The following is a 23228-nucleotide window of genomic DNA, read 5'->3' as shown; positions in this document are numbered from 1 at the left end:
AACATATACAAAAGAAGAGAGAAGAGTATGATAAACTCTCATATCCACCACACAGCTTCAACAATTATCAATGTTTTATCTATATTGGACTAACCAAAGTAATGCAAAAGAGGGCTTCTCAGTTTACTCTAAAGATTGTTTGAAAAGCATATGTAAGTAAATGTTCTAGGACTAGTTCAACATTCTTTGGGAAGATTTAGAGATAACATGTACTCCCAGAGCCTATTTACATGTATTTTTCGACATCTGGCTAACAATTCCTCTTTGAGTTAGATGATTACAACATCCCAAACTCTGCACAATCTCCTGATGAGTGTATATAATAGAGTCACTGTACTTGTCTCTAAAAAAAAATTTATTTATTTTCAGAACTTTAGAAAATTGTGGCTGTGTTCCCATATGTGGTACAAAGAACCAGTGAGTCCCATTTGTTGTGGTTCCTGCATTCGATGACTCCAGATGTGCCACCACCGAGCTAGTCTTATGACAACCTAGAAGGCAAATTGGTGAGAAAGCCTGTATTTCTGGGTCCATTGACTGTTTGTACAAAGAATCTTTGAGTGTGAAAATGTATACTCTTAGGGCAAAACATTAGGGAATGATTAGCAGTTTCAGGATGAATACAGGTAATTTCTTGAGCATTATTATTATTTACTTGGTCCAACCATTCATTTAAATGTATGGTGATGTTTCTTAATTACTGGATTTAACTTCTCTACTTTTCTTTCCTTCTTCATGGTAACTGATTTGTATTTTCTACTTTTAGTGCAAGGTCATCCACAAGGTGCTAAGTTGTACTCTGACAGTGGGAACTAAACTCAACGTTAATTAAACCATTGTTTAAAAACATATCCATCATATCATGCTTGTTGAATGTAGTTTCATGTTAAGCCCATTATATTACCTGATATATATTTGTTGAAGGAGCAAGGTTGAGTGACCCCCTTCCAGATACTTTTCTAGTGACTCATATTTTAATATCATATTAATGTGTGGCTTTCATCATATTAAATAAGTCTCAGCTACCAACCACAGTATTTTGGGAGATTCAAAATACATGTTGATAATCTTTCTAACTTTCTGAACTATTGGCTCCTTAACTTGATCTTTGTGACTTTCATCTCATTCTGCCTCAGATCCTCTTTGGTGTAGCCAGACATACCTTAGTTTTCACCATCACCCTCAACTTCTCCACATCTGAGACTGTCAAACGTGAAAAATTTCCTCTGACCACTACCTATCTTTCTATCTCTCCTATAACCTCATACCTTCTGACCCATTCTTCACATCACTAGATCCAGTCCCTTTGCTTTTTCCCCATCCACTAGTCTTCCTGGTTTCACAGGACATCATAAGGCACCTCATGAGTCCTTGGGACAACTTTTCTCACTTTGCCCTCGCCAGCATTCTAATGACTCATCTCACTGTTCTTCTGTCACACCTGTTCTGCTGATTTCCAGCCCTAGTTAAGGAAACCATCTGTATCTTCTTTACCCATTTCTTGGCAGCTGAACATTTCTGGAGAACATACCATAACCAGGCTGACTGACTGCTCTAAAAGTTGTATTGTACAGTTTGTCTTGGAACTCAACAACACTGGACATTCCTTTTCTCATCTCTCATTCATTCACTCTTAAAATAGTTCTATCTGTTGTTTCACTCCTCTGCAGTCTTACCAAATTTCTACATCTACCTCTAACCTCTTTTGCCACCTAATTTACTAGAAGCTGGAGGTCATCTGATAAGAATAACTTATAAATATCATTTTGTCCAAATTATTACCTATTCACTTATCTTCCCCCGGTGTCTGAAGAAGAATTTTTGTGATTTTGTTCTAAAGCCAGTGTTTTCATCTACCCTTTTTCTCTCTTCCCTTCCCATGTCCTCTTTGACTTTGCTCTATCAATCATCTCTTCTTCGAGTCCTCCCCTTAATAACTGCAAACCGTTTCTCTCCTGCCCTAAGGAGACTCTCCCTGGAGTCTAATTTCCATTCTTTGTATTTCTGTCTCTCTCTTTTTCTTCTTCATCCACAAACTTCATCCATCTTGGTTTCTTCCCCCACTTAATCCTAAGCACCTTCAGCCTCTGCAAAGTTCAAAAGCCAAAATCCTCTTCTTAGACCTTCTGCTGAAATTCTGGTTTCAGCAGAATTTGACAACATGGACCACGCTTTTCTCACTAGAACCCTCATCTCCACTGGAATTCATGTTGCATTCTCCTCTCCTCCTCCCTCATGAACTGCTTCTGTGTAGTTTCCTTTCAGGATTCCTCTTCTCCCCCTTTAGAATAGGCCGGTTACATGTAAGCTTTCTGAAGATTCAGTGTTCAGTCCTCTCTTTTAACTCTCAATAGTCCCTTGGTAGTCTCATCCTATCTTATGACTCAATTATTTAATTGCTATACCTCTCACCTTTGTGAGAATGACTCCTACCTCTGTCCCTTTAGCCCTCATCTGTCTTCCCCTAATCAGACCCTTATTTCTAATTGGATGCTGAGCATTCCACACTGATGCATTGCAGACACTTTAAACTCTGATCTAAATTCAACTCATCACTTTTTACTGGTGTGTTTTTGATCTTGGCTAATCAATTCAATGGCATCTCCTTCCACCATTATCTTTCAAATCAGTCTTCTCTGTTCACTCCCTTCTTCAGAAACTCATTAACTCCTCTGTGGACTATTGCAAAAGCATGTTAAAAAGTCTCTCTGGTTTCAGTTTGTCTTCCTCGAATTAGCAAAAAAATAGCAAAATAACTGTACCATTCACAGTGATTTCTTCACATTATAGAAAGCTCTTTCTCAGCTGGGCGTGGTGTATCACACCTGTAATCCCAGCACTTTGGGAGGCTGAGGCGGGTGGATCACCTAAGGTCAGGAGTTCTAGACCAGCCTCACCACTATGGTGAAACCTCCATCTCTACTAAAAATTCAAAAATTAGCCAGGTGTGGTGACATGCACCTGTAGTCCTAGCTACTCGGGAGGCTGAGACAGGAGAATCGCTTGAACCCAGGAGGAGGGTTGCAGTGAGCTGAGATCACACCACTGCACTCCAGCCTGGGTGACAGAGCAAGACTCCGTCTAAAAAAAAAAAAAAGAAAGAAAGCTCTTTCTCATTCTTTGGCTTACTTACTTGTCTTTCTCTGTCACCTCGAATGTCACATTTTTGAACACTGCTGCTAGTGTCATCTTCCTAAGGTTCAGATATGACCAAGTCACACTTCCAGTTCAAAGACTTTTATACCCTACCCCTTTCCTCTGTAGTCAAAGATCTCCATGATTTGGTCTGAATCCATCTCTCTCATCTTATCTCCACTCCATTCTTGCAGCCTGGTCTGTGTGGCAAGTCTCTCAAACAGACCAGGGTCTCAGTTGCCTTTTCTTAGACTATTGCCTCTGTCTGATGGTCTTCCTCCTAGATCAGCTTTTGTAGAGCCCCCAGAAGGCCAGAGTGGGACCCTCAAAAGTTCAGGGCCCATGGTCAGGGACCTCATTCAAATCATTCTCTTTCAAAATGCTGTCTCCATCACCAAAGTCAGAACAAGAGTCACCCTGCATTATCAAATACTTGGTTAATATCTGGAACACAGAACTGAGTACAGTCTGTTTTGGCACCTACGTGTTTCTCTTCTCCATTAAAGCATACATCTTGGAAGACAGGGACACAGCCTAATTCATTTTTGCATCCGACCCAATGAATATGAAGCGCTCCCATAGTAGATGTTTTATTGTTTATAGAATTGTTGAATTCTATATCAAGCTTTGACTTGATTTAATTTATAGAATTAAGGATCAATTTAACTTGTCTTGGGGAGCAAGATTTTTATTTTGTTTTCCTTAATAATTTAGTCTTTATTATAGTATACATTTTCTCCTTATAATGGAACTTCCATAATGGGAATTATTTAGTGGACAAAATTCATGATATTCATCATATCAAAATAAGCCTTTGGCACTATAGCAAATAATAACATGTTAAAAGGAAGACACAGTGCAAGTGAAAGAATATATGCAAATATCAGGGAAGCTTCTGATTATAATTGAAAGAGATCATGTATGTAAAGTGCTTCTTAATTATCTGGTACAAAGTCAGTGCTCAGTAAATGTTACCTATTATTATTATACAGCAAGTAAAGTAGCTGGAAAAAAGTAATTTGCCTATTCCCATGTGGTCTACATAGTTTTGTGTTACAGCTGATATTGACTTTGAACTGCATTCACCTTTTTAGTCAGAGTCAGATATGTCTTTTCATAATTTCAAGAGCAAGTAACAAAGAGTAAGGCATGTGAGAAGTTATCATGATGCAATTAACCATGTGCACTATTGATGAGGACTTGGCTTCCCTCTGTACTACTTGATATTCACTGAAATAAACAATGGTGATAATTGTCACATTCCTAACAAAGACATCTGCTAAACCAGGCAACTCAAGCAAAGCTGTTTGCTACTGACAGCTTGCTTCAAATGTGAATGTTGCCATTAAGAAAAAATAGCATTTCTGTATTTATCACATTACCTAATATGTTGAGTTGGCAGTGTTTCATCTGGAGACCAAAAGACCTATGCCTAATCATTAAATTCAGCATTCAAACTTCTATATTTGCATAAGAGACTATTAAAAGATCTTTAATTTTTTGTCATGTTAATGTAAATGTGATATATCCAAACGATAAAAAAGTCCCACAGTTCAGAATGGTATCAACTAAGGGTAAAAGTCTCCTTTTCCATTCTCTCTACTCCTATTACTCCTCCCTAGAGATTATCTTTTGGATTGCACATTATGTAAAAACCACACAAAATAATAATAAGAATCAACCAACTCCACTTCACTTTGTATATGACCTTGAATTTCAGAAAATTCTAATGCTGCATGATGCCAAAAGACAAATCACACTTGGTCTTAGCCAGAAGGCTGAGAAATGATCCAAAAGACAAATCATTACAACTTTTGATTTGTCAACTAATGTCATAAAAAATTTACATTTAAAAATAATATTCCAAAGTATCCAGAAGAATGAAAGCTTTACTCTCTATTCCCTCATCTAACGATTGATCACCAAGAAGTATCTGAAGCAGTATAATCCTTAGGCCAGAGTGAGAATGTCCCCTGAGCCTGAACCCCAAACATTTGAGGTTTCCACTCTGGCCTTTCTTGGGTCCTGCCCCTCTTCATGGGGTAAAGTGTCTGTGTTGCTAAAGGGATGTACTCACTCAGAGTCTGTATGCCCTCATCAGACCACATTTGGGGTAACCAGGATGGAGGAATTCCTAGCTCACATGGTCCAAGCAACTTCCATGGCTTCTTCCTCACCTCCACCCTCCCAAGGGTAGGTAGCCATGGGGCTGGGGACTAAGCAGGTATGGAACTTTGAAGAGTTTGAGAAATCTAAATTAAAACCTGATATTTCAGGGTTTTATAAAGGTGTCCAGGCAGGAGGATTTAAGTATTTATTTAACAGTTTATTTTGCTTTGTTTGTAACTTTAAAATATTTAGAGTTTTAAAGTCAACATGAGAAGTTGACTTCAATATGTGCTTTTGACTCAGATCCTCCAAATGTTAGGGGGTAGGCCTGATTTGAAGACAATGTTATTGTGAAGCTCATATAATTAAATGTCCTTCCATGAGAGTTGTGTTTCTAACAGCTCTTTGGAATCAAGGTAAAGTGAATTTTACTCTTTAAATCACTAGTTTTTTTAAAATGAGAAACTTCTGATTTCAAATTATTCTGTCCCTGTTATATATCTACTGTTAAAATATTCAGGGAAGGAATATCGCAGTAGAGGTAGGACAGAGATTGACTTCGTTAATCTTTTTTGAAAATACCAATTTTCATAGCTTGCTTTTCATTTGGAACAATTTCTTATGGATCTGCCATTCTGTACTTACTCCCCTGTTTTTTCTCTCCATAAATTATCTCTCTTTCATTGATAATAAGAGTTTTTCAGAACAGAAAATTTTATTTATGCCAGCCCTCACTTTACATAAAAAGAAACAGGATACCATGGAAGGGTGGCATGATCTTTTAGGCATTTGGGAGTTTTGGTTGTAGGAGATTAGTTCACACAGGTTTGCCAGGCTCAAATCATTTTACACTTAAAAAAAAAAAGAATACACAGAGATACAAGAGTGGAAGATGCAGCATTTGAGGAAAAGGGTTGCTTCTCAACTATGATCTCATTTTACCCAGGGTCCATCTCACTGCTTATTTATACAATCATATAGGCAGGAGGCAACAAAATTAGTTAAATAGGTATTGCATTTACATGGTTAGTGTGTGTGTGTGTGTGTGTGTGTGTGTGTGTGTGTGTGTGTGTGTGTGTATCTTCTCACCCTGTGTTCCATCCACTTTGTTTCATCACTCCACCTCAACAGATGGCCACTGATATTAGATGCTTGTGTGTGCATGCAGGGTTTCTTTTTTTTTTCTTTCACTTTTTCTTTCTTTTTTTTTTTTTAATTTTTTTTTTTTTTTGAGACGGAGTCTTGCTGTGTCACCCAGGCTGGAGTCTAGTGGCACCATCTCCGCTCACTGCAACCTCCACCTCCCGGGTTCAAACAATTCTCCTGTCTCAGCCTCCCAGGTAGCTGGAATTACAGGCGCCTGCCACCACGCCCAGCTAATTTTTGTATTTTTAGTAGAGACGGAGTTCCACCAGGTTGGCCAGGCTGGTCTAGAATTCCTAACTTCAGATGATCCTCCCACCTCAGCCTCCCAAAGTGTTGGGATTACAGGTATGAGCCACCGCGCCCGACCTCAGGGTTTCTTTAGACAAATAAAAGTCCTTACATAACTCTTTTTTTCAGTTAACAACATTGAAGATTTTTTTTTTTTTGTTACTTCAGAGAGAGCCTCTTTGTTCTTTCTTGAGTGTTGTATAGAACTGTTCTATTATATGGCTATCCTGTAATTTACATATTTTTATTAATAACCTCCTTTTTTTTTTTTTGACAGAGTCTTGCTCTTTCCCCCAGGCTGGAGTGTAGTGGTATGACCTCGGCTCACTGCAACCTCTGCCTCCCGGGTTCAAGTGATTCTCCTGTCTCAGCCTCCCGAGTAGCGGGGACTACAGGCGCCTGCCACTACGACCAGCTAATTTTTGTATTTTTAGTAGAGATGGGGTTTCACCATATTGGTCAGGCTGGTCTCAAACCCCCGAACTCAGGTGATCCATCCTCCTCGGCCTCCCAAAGTGTTGGGATTACAGGTGTGAGCCACCATGCCCGGCCTAATAACCTTCATTTTTAAGAACAGTTTTATATTTGCAAAAATATTGTGAAGATAGTACAGAGAATTCCCATACACCAGGCACGCAGATTCCCCTATTATTAACATCTTACTTTAGTATGGTATACTTGTTACAATTATTGAGCCGATACTGATTTATTATTACTACCTAAAGTCTATACTTTATTCTGATATCCTTAGTTTTATCTTTTCCTGTTTCATGATATTATACTACATTTAGTCATCATGTCTCAGATTCTTCTTGGCTGTGTAAGTTTCTTGTTTTTGATGACCTTGACAGTTTTGAGGAGTACTGGTCAGGTATTTTGTAAAGTGTCTCTCAATTGAGATTTATACAATTTATTTTATTTATTTATGTTTGTTTTTGTTTTTGTTTGAGACAGATTCTTGTTCTATTGCCCAGGGTGGAGTACAGTGGCACGATCTCATCTGATTGCAACCTCTTCCTCCCGGGTTCAAGCAATTCTTGTGCCTCAGCCTGGGACTACAGGCATGCACCATCATGCCCAGCTAATTTTTGCATTTTTTTGTAGAGATGGGGTTTCGCCATGTTGGCCAGGCAGGTCTCGAACTCCTGACCTCAGGTGATCCACCTGCCTCAGCCTCCTAAAGTGCTGGGATTACAGGCGTGAGCCACTGAGCCCTGCCTAGTTTATTTTTGTACAAATATATTTTGTACAAAAAAAGCCCTTTTGATGAATGTTTGGTTTTTTTCCCCAATCCTTTGCTATTACAAACAGTGAGGCAATGAATAACAGTGTATATCTGTAATTTCATGTGTTGCAGGTGTAAAGGATAAATTCCCAGAAGTGACGTTGGCAGGTTAAGGTGTAAATGCATTTGTAATTTTGATATTATTGCCAAATTACCTTCCATAAGAATTGTGCCAGTTTATGCTACATGCATAAGAGTGCCTGTTTCCTGACAGCTTTGCCAATAGGGCATGTTGTAAAACTTTTAGATTTTCACCTGTCTGATAGAAGAAAGCTAGTTATCTGTATGGTTTTACAATTTTGATAACATTTCTCTGATTATGAATGAAGATGAAGTATTTTATATTTATTAACACTTATTATAAATAGACTCTTTTCCATTCTATTCATATATATATGAAAGCTATTGCTTTCTGAATAATAATTTCATAATATGGAGATGATTTCAGCTCAATATTTTAGTGATGCTTGCTATGTGCCTCTATATTAGGGCTTGTATTTATATATTGAATCCTGTTCTCAAATGCAATAGTTATTAACAGGCTAGTTTCCAAGAAACTGTTATTAGCCATCTTAAGAGATATCTGAGGAAGGTTGCAGCTCTGGTTTCTAGTAAAAATGTTGTTCTGTGATGTGTTTCCTTTACTATCTTGTACCTTTCTTACTCATGTCAGCTAGGACCTGTATTGTTCCATTATTTTTTTCTGTGGAGAGCAGAGATCATCACCCAGGTATAGAAAAGTGACCTTAGCACTACCCCACTTTATCAGCAAGCTGCAAAAATGCTGCAGTCACATCTACGAAGGAGTTGCCCATCCTGGGCGAAGCATTTATTCTCCCAAAGGGAGAATGATATTATATTATAATTGCCCTAGGAAGCAAATTAATTCTGAAGTCTTTTGAAGGAAAGGATCAATATGTACCTTTCATCTTCATGTAGAACCCTTATGTGTATTTGGGAAGATCTTATGAATGATCTCAAGAGTAAGCGTCTCAAATGCAGGCAATGACAAAATCATGGCTTCATGGATAGAAGAAAATTGGACAATTCTCTCTTTTCCTCTAATTTGCTTAATTTAATAAATCAACAATTTATTATGGGCCTTTCATCTTTTTAGATAGTGGTATGAGCTCTGGAGATATAAACATGCTATGACACTCTCTCTGATGCCCAATATAATTATAATTTAAGTGAAGGAGACAGACTTGGGAAAAGATAATTATGAATTTAAGAATTTATGTTTTAAGTGCTATTAAAGAGAAATGCACAAAGAGTGTTACAGAGACAAATAATTATCTAGGGGATTGGTGGTAGGAATAGAGAGGTAAATAAGAGGAAGTAGGATATTACAGACAAGATGATATTTAAGGAAGAGTGAAGAAGATTGAGAGAGACTGAATTGTCTAATATTATATGAACCCTGACTCAACTGGTCCCTTTACAAGAAGGCCATCTTTCCTAAAGAATGGGACATTACCCTGGTCATTTGTATGATGATTTTAGGTGGCATACTGATATGACTTCAAATAAAATTGGTTTGCTCAGAAAATTATTCTCTTTAAATCCATCTGATTAAATCAAATAGAAAGTCTGTTTGGAACTGGTATCCTCTTTTGATATCTTCTAACACTTACACTACTTTTTAAATATAGAGATACTGGGCTCAGGTCCAGAGCCTTCAGGAAGCAATAACATTTAATAATTTTATATTATTTTCATCATATTTACTTAGAAGATAACTTTCTATTTCTGGCAAATGGTGCTGGTTTGCTACTTATAGTTGTGATATAAAGTTATTTATTCACTTATTCACACAACAAATATTTGTTGAGTACCTTCTGTGTGCCAGGCACTGTTCAATGAACTTGTGAATAAAATATTAGTGGATAAAACAAAAACTTCTGTCCTGAGGACCCTATAACATAGCTTATTATTTTGCTTGATTATTGTTTTTTAAGTTTAAAAATGGGTTTAATTTTAAGTTAGTAAGTAAATAATAATACATATCATAGCAGTACAGGATACAGGTCAGAGATAGTATAGAGGAGAAATGAAGATGAATGCTACATCAAATTGCCTAAGGTTGAATCCTGGTTCTACCAGCTATTAGTTCTGTGACCTTGAATAAGTTGCTTACTTTTTTGCGCCTCATTTTCCTCCCTTGTCAAATATTGTGACAATTCACTACATGTTGATTGTTGTTGTTGATATTACTATTATTACATAGATTGTCAAAATCCTGAAATTTATATTCAAATGACTGAATTTGGGGAAATATTGGACTAGATTGTTTAAACAATTTTTTAAAACAATGCAGGGTCTGGGCTTACTTTCCTTCTTAGCATTTTATTTTGATATAATTTTAGACTTACAGAAAAGTTACAAAAATAGTACTAAGAATTCCCATGTACGCTTCACCCAGCTTCCCCTAATGTTTACATTTTATGTAACCATATTACAATTGTCAAAACTAGTAAATTAACATTGGTATAATACTATTATTAGTTAAACTACAGACTTTATTTGTATTGCCCTGGTTTTCCCAATATCATTTTTCTTTTCTAGGATCCAATTTGGGATCCCACATTGCATTTATTTGCTTATTTTTGGTTTTTCTTTTTTTAATTAATTAATTTATTTATTTATTTGAGATGGAGTCTCACTCTGTTGCACAGGCTGGAGTGCAGTTGTGTGATCTTGGCTCACTGCAACCTCTACCTCCTGGGTTCAAGCGATTCTCCTGCCTCCACCTCCCAAGTCGCTCGGATTACAGGCCCATGCCACCACGCCTGGCCAATTTTTGTATTTTTAGTAGAGATGGGGTTTCGCCATGTTAGCCAGGCTGGTCTCGAACCCCTGACCTCAAGTGGTCCTCCTGCCTTGGCCTCCCAAAGTGCTGGGATTACAGGCATGAGCCACTGCACCCGGCCCCACATTGCATTTAGTTGTTACGTCCTTTTAGTTGCCAACTATGTAGACTTTATGTAGACTCGGTGTCTCCTTGACATTCATGACCTTCACATTTTTGAAGAGTACTGGTCAGGTTTTTGTAGAATGTTCTTCAGTTTTTCTGTGTCTGATGTTTTCTCATGATTAAATCAAGTTTATGCATTTTTTGATAAGCATACACAGCAATGATGGGCCCTTCTCACAACATCATGATCGGGGGTTCATGATACTGATATGTCTTATTACAGTAATGCTAGTCTCCATCACTTGATTAAGGTGCTATTTGCCAGGTTTCTCCACTACAAAGTTACTATTTTTACCTTTATTATTAATAAATATCTTGGGGAAGATATGTTGAAATTGAAAATATCCTGTTTCTATTCCACTGATTTTAAGCATTCATTAATGGATCTTGCCTGCAACAAATATTAGTGTGGTGTTCTGTTTTTAATTTTCTATTTCCCTCATTTTTTCCATATTTATTAATTGGAATTTTATGTAGGCTGTCTCTTTTGTTCCATTAGTTTTTAAAAATGCAATTATTTGTTAATATCAATATGAATTCATAAATATTTATTATGTGGATTGTAATCCAATGCTATTGTTACTTACTTTTTGATCAAATTGCTTCAGCTTTGGCCACTGGGAGCTCTTTCTAGTTGGCCCCTATGTCTTCCTGACATGCCCCCATTATTTTTTTTAGCACTCCTTACTTTTTTGGCACCACATGATGCCTCAGACTCACCTTGTGTTTTCCCTGCCCCAGCCTCCACAAGCACTTCTCCAAAGAAGGTCTTAAATAAAGTAAAATTTTACAATATAAAAATTAAACAGGGCTGGGCATGGTGGCTCACACCTGTAATTCCAGCATTTTGGGAGGCCGAGGCTGGAGGATCACTTGAGGCCAGGAGTTCAAGATCAGCTTAGCCATTATGGCGAAACCCCATTTCTACTAAAAATACAAAAATTAGGCCGGGCACAGTGGCTCACGCCTGTAATCCCAGCACTTTGGGAGCCTGAGGTGGGTGGATCACCTGAAGTCAGGAGTTCAAGACCAACCTGGCCAACATGGTAAAACCTTGTCTTTATTAAAAATACAAAACTTAGCAGGGCATGGTGGTGTGATGTAAACCCAGCTACTCAGGAGGCTAAGGCAGGAGAATCGCTTAAACTTGAGAGGCAGAGGTTGGAGTGAACAGAGACTGTGCCACTGTACTCCAGTCTGGGCAACAGAGCGAGACTCCATCTCAAAAAACAAATAATAATAATAAATAAAAATAAAAATACAAAAATCAGCTGGTGGTCTAATTAGCTGTAATCCCAGCTACTCAGGAGGCTGAGGCAGGAGAATTGCTTGAACCTGGGAGGTGGAGGTTGCAGTAAGCCAAGATCGTGCCACTGCACTCCAGCCTGGGTGACACAGCAAGACTCTATCTCAAAGAAAAAAAAAGAAAAAAAGAAAAAAATTATACAGAAAAAAAATTAAGAATATGAAATTTAAATGTAAAACACTTTAGTTAAAAATTGTTTTAAAAACCAACACAAGGTTTAACATAGATGAAAGTGGCATATATTTTTTTCTTAGAATTTGACTGCTACTTGAATTATAGTTTTCCTCACAGTGCTAGGTTAACAGAATTAATCAGATGATCAAAACATTATATCATAGGGCAGTGGAGGGATGTTATATTTTGGGTAAATAATAATGTAATTCGCAGCATAAGAATTAAGGGCAGTCAATCTAGAGTCAGAATGGCTGGGCTCAAATCCTAATTCCACTACTTACTAGCTGTGTGACACCAAGCAAGTTACTTGACTTCTCCCAACCTCAATTTTCTAATGGGTAAAAATGAGGTTAATGACAGTACTTAAAAAGTTTAGGACGGGCGCGGTGGCTCACGCCTGTAATCTCAGCACTTTGGGAGGCCGAGGCGGGTGGATCACCTGAGGTCAGGAGTTCGAGACCACCCTGACCAATATGGTGAAATCCCATCTCTACTAAAAATACAAAAATTAGCTGGGTTCGGTGTCGCGCCCCTGTAATACCAGCTACTCGGGAGGCTGAGGCAGGAGAATCGCTTGAACCAGGAGCCGGAGGTCACAGTGAGCCGAGATCGCGCTATTGCACCAGCCTGGGCACCAAGAGCGAAACTCCTGCGAACATGGCCCTGCAAGCAGCACGGAGCATGCGGGCCGTGCTCTGCAGCCTGCGCGCGCTCTGGGCACCCGCCGTGCCCTGCCTGCCAAGGCCCTGGCAGCTGGGGGCGGGCGCCATCTGGACGCTGCTCACAGGACCCGTTCTGCTCTGGGTGTGTAAATTCACAGAGAAGCATGAATGGATAACAACAGAAAATGGTATTGGAACAGTGGGAATCAATAATTTTGCAAACGAAGCTTTGGGAGATGTTGTTTACTGTAGTCTGTCTGAAGTTGGGACAAAATTGAACAAACAAGATGAGTTTTGTGCTTTGGAAAGTGTGAAAGCTGCTAGTGAAATCTATTCTCTTTAATCAGGAGAAGTAACTGAAATTAATGAAGCTCTTGCAGAAAATCCAGGACTTGTCAACAAATCTTGTTGTGAAGATGGTTGGCTGATAAAGATGACACTGAGTAACTCTTCAGAACTGGATTAACTTATGAGTGAAGAAGTGTATGAGACATACATAAAATCTATTGAGGAGCGATAATGGAACCCCTAAATAAACTAGTATGAAATTATGCAACCCAGCAGAATTGTCTTAAATTAGCGGTGGTTAGAAGACTTAGAATAGCAACTTTTAGCATTACCGATGGGGAAAAAAAAACTACTGTTAACACTAATGAAAGAAAATGCCCTTTATCTTTCAAATGATTATAGACAAACATAATATTCTTCTATTTTATAATACTCTATGATTTTTAGACTAGGCTCTAGTATTCAGAATTCATTAAATTATCCATGGTAAAAACTAGTTATAAAAATTACATAATGTTTGCAGATGACATGATTGTATATTTAGAAAACCCCATCATCTCAGTCCAAAATGTCCTTAAGCTGATAAGCAACTTCAGCAAAGTCTCAGGATACAAAATCAATGTGCAAAAATCACAAGCATTCCTATACACCAATAATAGACAAGCAACCAAATCATGAGTGAACTCCCATTCACAAATGCTACAAAGAGATTAAAATATCTAAGAATACAACTTACAAAGGGAAGAACCTCTTTAAGGAGAACTACAAACCACTACTCAAGGAAATCAGAGAGGACACAAACAAATGGAAAAATATTCCATGCTCATGGATAGGAAGAATCAATGTCGTGAAAATGGTCATACTGCCCAAAGTAATTTATAGGTTCAATGCTATCCCCATCAAGCTACCATTGACTTTCTTCACAGAATTAGAAAAAAACTACTTTAAAGTTCATATGGGACCAAAAAAGAGCCCGTATAGCCAAGACAATCCTAAGCAAAAAGAACAAAGCTGGAGGCATCATGCTACCTGACTTCAAACTATACTACAATGCTACAGTAAAAAAAACAGCATGGTACTGGTACCAAACCAGATATATAGACCAATGGAACAGAACAGAGGCCTCAGAAATAACACTGCACATCTACTACCATCTGATCTTTGACAAGCCTGACAAAAACAAGAAATGGGGAAGGGATTCCCTATTTAATAAATGGTGCTGGGAAAACTGGCTAGCCGTATGCAGAAAACTGAAACTGGACCCTTCCTCACACCTTATACAAAATTTAACTCAAGATGGGTTAAAGATTTAAACGTAAGACCTAAAACCATAAAAACCCTAGAAAAAACTTAGGCAATACCATTCAGGACACAGGCATAGGCAAAGACTTTATGACTAAAACACCAAAAGCAATGGCAAGAGAGCCAAAATTGACAAATGGGATCTAATTAAACTAAAGAGCTTCTGCACAGCAAAAGAAACTATCATCAGAGTGAACAGGCAACCTACAGAATGGGAAAAAATATTTGCAATCTATCCATCTGACAAAGGGCTAATATCCAGAATCTACAAGGAACTTAAACAAATTTACAAGAAAAAACAACCCCATCAAAAAGTGGACACAGGATATGAACAGACACTTCTCAAAAGAAGACATGCAGCCAACAAACGTGAAAAAAAGCTCATCATCACTGGTTATTAAAGAAATGCAAATCAAAACCACAGTGAGATACCATCTCACACCAATTAGAATGGCAATCATTAAAAAGTCAGGAAACAACAGGTGCTGGAGAGGATGTGGAGAAATAGGAATGCTTTTACACTGTTGATGACAGTGTAAATTAGTTAAACCATTGTGGAAGGCAATGGATTCCTCAAGGATGTAGAACCAGAAATACCATTTGACCCAGCAATCCCATTACTGGTTATATACCCAAACGCTTATAAATCATTCTACTGTAAAGACACATGCACACGTATGTTTATTGCAGCACTGTTCACAATAGCAAAGACTTGGAACCAACCCAAATGCCCATCAATGATAGACTGGATAAAGAAAATGTGGCACATATACACCATGGAATGCTATGCAGCCATAAAAAAGGATGAGTTCATGTCCTTTGCAGTAACATGGATGAAGCTGGAAACCACATTCTCAGCAAACTAACACAGAACAGAAAACCAAACACCACATGTTCTCACTCGTAAGTGGGACTTTAAAAATGAGAACACATGGACACAGGGAGGGGAACATCACACAACAGGGTCTATCGTGCCATTGGGGGGCTAGGGGATGGATAGCATTAGGAGAAATACCTAATGTAGATGACGGGTTGATGGGTGCAGCAAACCACCATGGTACGTGTATACCTATGTAACAAACCTGCAAGTTCTGCACATGTATCCCAGAACTTAAAGTATATAAAAAATTACATAATTCAATGATAATGTTATTCTTAAGCCTTCTATAATGTTGTAACTTGTGTATATCTATACCTGGATTTGGGTTGAAACACTTAATGATCTTTCCGTTGGAAATAACTGGGAGCGAAGAAGTTTTTGTTGCTTGTACAGTGTCAGATGAAGAACAACACTATCTTAATTTTGCAATATACTGCATTTGCTGGTGCTATTTTTACACTGTGAAGCAACAGCTTTGCAGCAAAATAATAAAATACTTTTTTGTTAAAAAAATAGCAAAACTCCATCTCAAAAAAAAAAGTTTAGAAGAGTTTCTGGCACATAATGGTATAAAATATGACCACCAATTTACAGTGCTCTTTACATCTTATGAAGGACTTTCAATTATATTAGCTCATTTTATCACACAATAGCACTTAGTGTATTTATTACTATTTCAAACTTATAGATAAAGAAGCTGAGGCTCAGAAAGGTTAAGTGACTTTCTGAGATCTTACAGCTTAAAAGTGGGAAAGGGAAGGCTCAAACCCCAATCGTCTGGCTGCAAACTCTGGGTAGGAATGTAAGTACCAACTGTGGAGTAGAATATTAAACAATTAAAAAACTAATGTGACAAAATTTCAGGTTAACAAATTACCTAACAATTCATATAATAGTATCAGAACTTCAATGCAGGTCTTTAACTGACCTTCTTTTCTTAATCTGGTCTATGACATTAGCTTCAAAGAATGTCAAAAACACCTGGCTATATTTATGCAAATTTGTATACATGTGCTTTTTTTCCAGGAAAAGTGTTCATATGTTTCATCATGTTTTCTAAGGGGTTTATAAGCCCCAAGAAGTTAAGAACTTGGCTGGAATTCCTAATTCTCTGACAAGCTGCTTCGTTAGAGTGGTTATTATTTGGATGTTTATATTACTTTTAATGGTAGAAACTGCAATTACCTTTATACCAACCTAATATTTGAAGTGACAAATAGGGGACAATTCTCTTCTCGATGGGGAAATGGCTAAATTTTTAAAAATCTCTTTTTAAACTTTTTTTTTTTTTTTTTTGAGACGGAGCCTCACTCTGTTGCCCAGGCTGGGGTGCAATGGCGCAATCTTGGCTCACTGCAACCTCCACCTCCTGAGTTCAAGCGATTCTCCTGCCTCAGCTTCCTGAGTAGCTGGGACTACAGGCATCCACCACCGCACCCAGCTAATTTTTTGTATTTTAGTAGAGACAGGGTTTCACCATGTTGCCCAGGGCGGTCTTGAACTCCTGAGCTCAGGCAATCCACCCACCTCGGCCTCCCAAAGTGCTGGGATTACAGGCATGAGCTACCATGCCTGGCCTTTTTAAACTTTTTATCTTGGAATTTTCCAAAAATCACAAAAATTCAACTCTCATATAATACTCAGCTTCAAAAATGTTTAACATATAGCCAATCTTGCTTTATTAATAACTCCCAAAGATAAATGGATTTATTCCTGCATTATTTTAATAAAATCTAGCATCATTTCACTTTTTTTCTGACAATATTCAAGATTGTCATATGACTAAATCTAAATATAATTCCTATGCACCATAGAGAAGCAATTGTAAAGTCTATTATTCATTCAACAAAATTTTTGGGGTTACCTAATATTATACATTGCAAAGCACTAGAGGAGACGCAAGTATAAGTAAGATAAGATTTTCACTAACCTTAAGTAATTAAAATACGACATCATAAAACACCTTTTAGAGTTCTAGATTTCAGCCTTTAGATGCCTTTAAAATTGCTCAAGGCCAAAAATTAGTATTCATCCTTGATTTTTCACCTTCTCTCAGCAACCCCTCTTGCCTATCAAATTCATCAGCAAGTCCAATCAGCTGCATCTCCAAAACGTATACTAAGTTTCTCCATTTCTTTTCATCTCAATTGCTGTTCTCTTAATCCTAGCCTCCACTAGCTTTCTGCTGGGCTACTGAAGAGTCTTCTAACTGGCTTATGTATTTCTACTCTTGTCTATTTTCCATTGTCTGCCCAGGGAGATATGAACAAAAACATTGAAAACAACATAAATGCCCTTCAACCAAGGAATGGAGAAATCACGACATGTTAATCCAAGAAAATGCTAAGTAGTTGCTAAGGATTAATGAGCATGGATAAATCTCAGCAACATAATACTGAAGGTAAAAAAGCAAGTACAGAAGAATATGCACAGTATGGTACCATTCATATAAAGTTTAAAAACATGCAAGGCAGTGCTACATATTGTTTATAGATATGTATGAGTATGTGTGGTAAAAGCACAAAAACATGCAAGAAAATTACAAGCATAAAGTTTAGAATGGCAGTTACCTTTAAAGAGGGAGGAGAATAGGACTGAAAAGAGTACCATGGGGATTTTAACTGAATCTGATTTCTTAAGGTATCCCTTTTCTTGTTGTCTGTAAGTTCTTAGATGCCTGAAAAATTTTATAATTAAAATAAAATCAGATCAGATATTTTTATTTTAATTATAATATATAAATCAGATAAACATTACTCACTCATATAAATTCTTCAATGGCTTTTCATTGTTCGTAAAAAGTCCCAACCTGTTAGCAAGGTACAACAGGTCCCATGTGATCTGGTCCCTGCCTGCCTTTCCAAGCTCATCTTTTTCCCTCTCCTCATTAATTATCACCTTGCTGCCTTTTTTTCTGTTCCTTGAAGAAGTCAAGCCTGTTACTGCCTCAGGAACTTTGCACTGGTTCTTGCCTCTTCTCCAGATCATTCCCCAGTATATTCACTTATTTGCTTCTTGCTCTTCAGGTCTCAGCTCAGACAAGCCTTTCCTTGACCATCCTATTTAAAATAGTCCCCACCTTTTCTGTCTTTCTCTACACATCACTCTTTCATCCCCTTCACAGCACTAATTACCCTTGAAGAACTCTTGTTTATTTATTTATTAGCTGACGTCTCGTACTAGCATGTGAGCTCCTTATCTGTCTTTCCCACTGCTATATCTCTGGCAATTACAACAGTGCTTCATGCATGGGAAGCCCTCAATAAACATTTGTGGAACGAGTGAATTTATTCTTATTCTGAATAACCAGAAAAACCTAGACTTTTTTGGTGAAGAAATAGAAGCTAGAAATCTAAATCATAATACTTTTGGTGGGGGGTGGGAGGGGGTGTTGTTTTCCAAATGTGTCAACATTTCTTTACCATGATCCATATCAAAGGATTATAAATCCAATTTGTATTTGATGATAGAGACTGATATTTGGCTCCTTTTCATTGTCTTTAATATGGACTGTAAAATTGGGTGATTTGATTAGTTTGTGTGTACTTAAATGTACTGCTGTGTGTCTACTGTTGAACCATGTTGCACTATCTTCTACTTTTTCTAAAATAAATCTGGAAACAAGTAAACCATCAGTTCCCTCCTAAAATATGAGTCATATTAAAGGCATCCTGACATATTTCTACTTGTTCTAAGTAGAACTCTGAATAATTATTGATACTGTAGAATGTTCTTAAAACATACCATCCTTAGTGAACTCAACTTTGGTCTTTTATAGATAATGGAGATATTTTTGTTAGGAATGTCCCCTTGATTAGCAATCATTTCTCTAAGGACAAGTTCTGCCTTGTTGAGGCTGCCCTGAGATAACCCAGGCTTGTGATGCATGGCTAACAATTAATTTTCCTTTGGAAGTTACTTCAAACCTTTATTTTTCAAATTCACAATTGAATCTATGCTGCACATTTCTCGAGTTCATCACTTAATTCAATAGCAATTCAAAAAATCTTCCAAGGTTTATAAATTTGATCTTTAGGTTAAAGATAAACATGTATGCTTTCCTTCTTTCTGGCTAGGCCTAGCTTGCAAGCTGAGAAACAGAGCATATGTCTTACATTAGTGAATCTTATCAGGCTCTGAAGATGTACTCCCATTTCCTGTTCATACCATGCTTACGTGCTATGGAGCTAAATTGTAATCATAGCTGCGACGCTATTTTTAAAATGTTGTTACAATTTTGAGTTCCTGGCTGCCTTTTAGAACCATGATCATACTGCCACTTTCTCCCCAAAGGTGCTATTTTACAGCATTTGAGTGACTGAGTTAAGAAATATCTTTATGCTTGCATTTTTTCTGGAAACGAATAAACCTTGCTACCTGGCTGGGAAATTTCATTGGTGTTTATTTATTTATTTTTAAAGATGAGGTCTCACTATATTGCCCAGGCTGGTCCTCAACTCCTGGACTCAAGCAATCTTCCCACCTTGGCCTCTCAAAGTGCTGGGATTACAGGTGTGAGGCATTATGCCTGGCCCTAGGAAGGGAAGTTTATTTGGTAAATGAGATATGTAAGAAGTTTCTTTGGAAACTGAATGAAGTGATTTGATGTCTAAATGGCATTTTCTTATTTAACAGAGAGGCAGGAGGAAAAAAAAATCCAACAAACTAATGAAAAAATAACGTTCTTGTTTTAGGATTAAATGACATGTCATTTTAAATCAAGTAAAGCAATCTAGGCATGGTGGCTCACACCAGTAATCCCAGCACTTTGGGAGGCCAAGGCAGGAAGATTGCTTGAGCCCAGGAGTTCAAGACCAGCCTGGGCAACATAGGGAGACCCTGTCTCTACAAAAAAAATACAAAAATTGGCCAAGCCTAGTGGCACACACCTGTGATCCCAGCTATTTGGAAGGCTGAGGTGGGAGGATTGCTTGAGCCTAGGAGGTAGAGGCTGCAGTCAGCCATGATCATGCCACTGCACTTCAGCCTGGGTAACAGAGCATGACCCTGTCTCAAAAATAAAAATAAAAAAATCAAGTAAAGCAGAGATTTAGCATTTATCAGTTACCGATTTAATCTGGAAAAAGAATAGCTTGCAAAATGCAGTTTGGTTGTTCATTGTTGGTGGGAGTTGCTGTTGATTGGTTTTTGTTTGCTTGCTCACAGTACCTGGCTTGGCTGCTTACAACTATTAAATTAGCTAGATAATCCTGTGCTGTGTAAGTACAGCCATAATCTATTATTGGTTTTCATATGCAAAAATTTGGGAATAGATAATGTTCAGAAGGGCCCTCCTTCTGATTTCATAATTTGATTTAGAGATTGAATGCTCAAAGAGGAGAGAGAAGAGATTGAAGTCAGATTTAGAAAAGAGACTTGAATTTTAGTTATTAATACTCCCATTCGACAGAGATTTTTATCACTTCAAATATAATTGGGCACAGATAAAAGGGTAGGTCAGCAAGCCATAGAATAAATCTTTCAACTGTTGCATTAGAGAAGAGTTACTGAAGTTATTCTTCATGTGCTCCAACTCTTAACGTTCCTCTTCAGAGCCCTAATTTTGGCATCAAGACGTTGGATCATTTGGGTTCAAACATCTGTTGTTTCTGGATGGCTTTAAAATTCCATTGCAAGCTCAAAAATGCTCAAATTGCAAAGCGTGTCCGTAGGAGAAGTATCTACTTGGTGTATATTTGCCCTTCTGTCTCACGAATCTTCCACGAACACTTCATTTGCGCCTTCAATTTCTGTTCTGTTCCTCACCATATATTAATAACATAACTTATTTCTTCCACTCAGATCCTAGTTTCAAAGACACAATTTTAGGCATGGAATGCCTTTCCCTGCTAAGTTTATTCTTCATGTGTTTAGAATGCTCTGGAATGTATGTAAATACTTTTCAAAGTCAAGACTCTTCATTTTTTCCCTCTTGTACTTGCCATTGCCTGACTGCTTCATACCAATTTCTATTAGAACTTTGCAAGTTCTAGCAAGATTTTTTGGAAAAAGATGATTGAAATCAGATAACCCTTAAAGGGCAAATGGAGTACAAATGCACTTCTTTTTCTGAGAAATATTTGCATTATAGCTTTTACCATTCCATGCAGCACCCCAACTAGGAGATGTGACTGCAGGCAGGAAATGAGCAGAATAAGTCTCCTCATTTGGAAAAATCAGTCTTTGATGAACACTTATCGAAGGAAGTCAAGCCTTGCAACTGTTCCACCAAGCTATGGAACCCCCTGGTTCTGCATTCTTCCAATTTTTTTTTTTTTTTTGAGACAGAGTCTTGCTGTGTTGCCCAGACTGGAGTGCAGTGGCGCTATCTCAGCTCACTGCAACCTCCGCCTCCTGGGTTCAAGCAGTTTTCTGCCTCAGCCTCCCGAGTAGCTGGATTACAGGTGCCTGCCACCATGCCTGGCTAATTTTTGTATTTTTAGTAGAGACGGGGTTTCACCATCTTGGCCAGGCTGGTCTTGAACTCCTGACCTCGTGATCCACCCACCTCAGCCTCCCAAAATGCAGGGATTACAGGCGTGAGCCACCACGCTCGGCCCCCAGATTTTTAAAATGTTTGAAAGTAAAGATGGATAGACATTATTAAAAGTAGGATTTTGGTAGAGAGACCACTCCATCGCCAGTGTGACTGGAGTTTATGGTCATTTAAAAACTGTTGGAGATTAGATCATGACAGAGTGATTTCAACCCTTCAAAAATGGCAATCAAGGCCAGGCGTGATGGCTCATACCTGTAATCCCAGCACTTTGGGAGGCCAAGGTGGGCAGATCACCTGAGGTCAGGAGTTTGAGACCAGCCTGGCCAACATAGTGAAACCCCATGTCTACTAAAAATAAAAAAAATAGCCAGGTGAGGTGGCGCATGCCTGTAATCCCAGGTACTTGGGAAACTGAGGCAGGATAATTGCTTGAACCTGGGAAGTGGAGGTCGCAGTGAGCCAAGACTGCGCCATTGCACTCCAGCCTCGGCAGCAGAACGAGACTCTGTCTTAAAAAAAAAAAAATGGCAATTAATTACTGGCATTGACTCCTTCCCAACTCCTCCAGTCAGGTATCTAAAGAAAATAGTTTGGGAGAATCTTCTCTTTTTGTATACAAACTTTACAAATATAACAATAAGGGACAGAATACAACCTAATATTACATTCTCAGCCCAACAGATAAAGAGTAGTCATGATTTGTTAAAGAGAACAGATCTTTAATTTGTGTGTGATGTTTAATTTGTGTTTTTCTCTCTCAACCTAATAATGATTATAAGTTAACAGTGTGTACTATCCTAAGAACTATCGTGTATTAAGTAAATGATCTATAGCAATAAATAAATAAATAAAGCAAGGAGGAGTCTTGGCCTTCAAAAGCCCTATTGTATTTACTAATGGTTAGTTTTTGACTTCTCGGTGTCTGTCCTGTTCTGATTGTATCAGCCACCCCCTGGTGTCAGGGGTTACTTACTGCCAGAGGATTTCTAGTCCATGTGGGTCATTAACTCTAATCTTTCCTCAGCCCTTCTGACCTCTTTATCTCCAGATGCATACAAGTTTTAAACCCACCCCCATCACTGACTTTCTGGACTTTTACCCCATCAGTCTCAACTCAGTCTTGACTCGACTCTGCAGAAGTAATTGTTTGGAGAGTTGCCTGCCTCTGAGTATGCTCTGT

At 38.0% G+C, this 23228-nt stretch overlaps 1 long non-coding RNA gene and 1 pseudogene across 2 annotated transcripts in view; both read left to right on the top strand.

The window, feature by feature from the left end:
• Nucleotides 1-23228, top strand: part of SEPTIN7-DT (SEPTIN7 divergent transcript) — a 45662-nt gene that overhangs the window by 18911 nt on the left and 3523 nt on the right. For both annotated transcript variants that reach the window (NR_120512.1, NR_120511.1), the window contains exon 3: nt 370-506. This is a non-coding gene — a long non-coding RNA (SEPTIN7 divergent transcript). The remainder of the gene's footprint in view (nt 1-369; nt 507-23228) is intronic.
• Nucleotides 13063-16057, top strand: LOC442293 (glycine cleavage system protein H (aminomethyl carrier) pseudogene; annotated as a pseudogene).

This window comes from Homo sapiens, chromosome 7 (assembly GCF_000001405.40).
Source record: "Homo sapiens chromosome 7, GRCh38.p14 Primary Assembly".
In the NCBI taxonomy this organism is placed as follows: Eukaryota; Metazoa; Chordata; class Mammalia; order Primates; family Hominidae; genus Homo; species Homo sapiens.
Note: the sequence above shows the minus strand (reverse complement) of the source record. Positions and strands in the feature narration are given on the sequence as shown.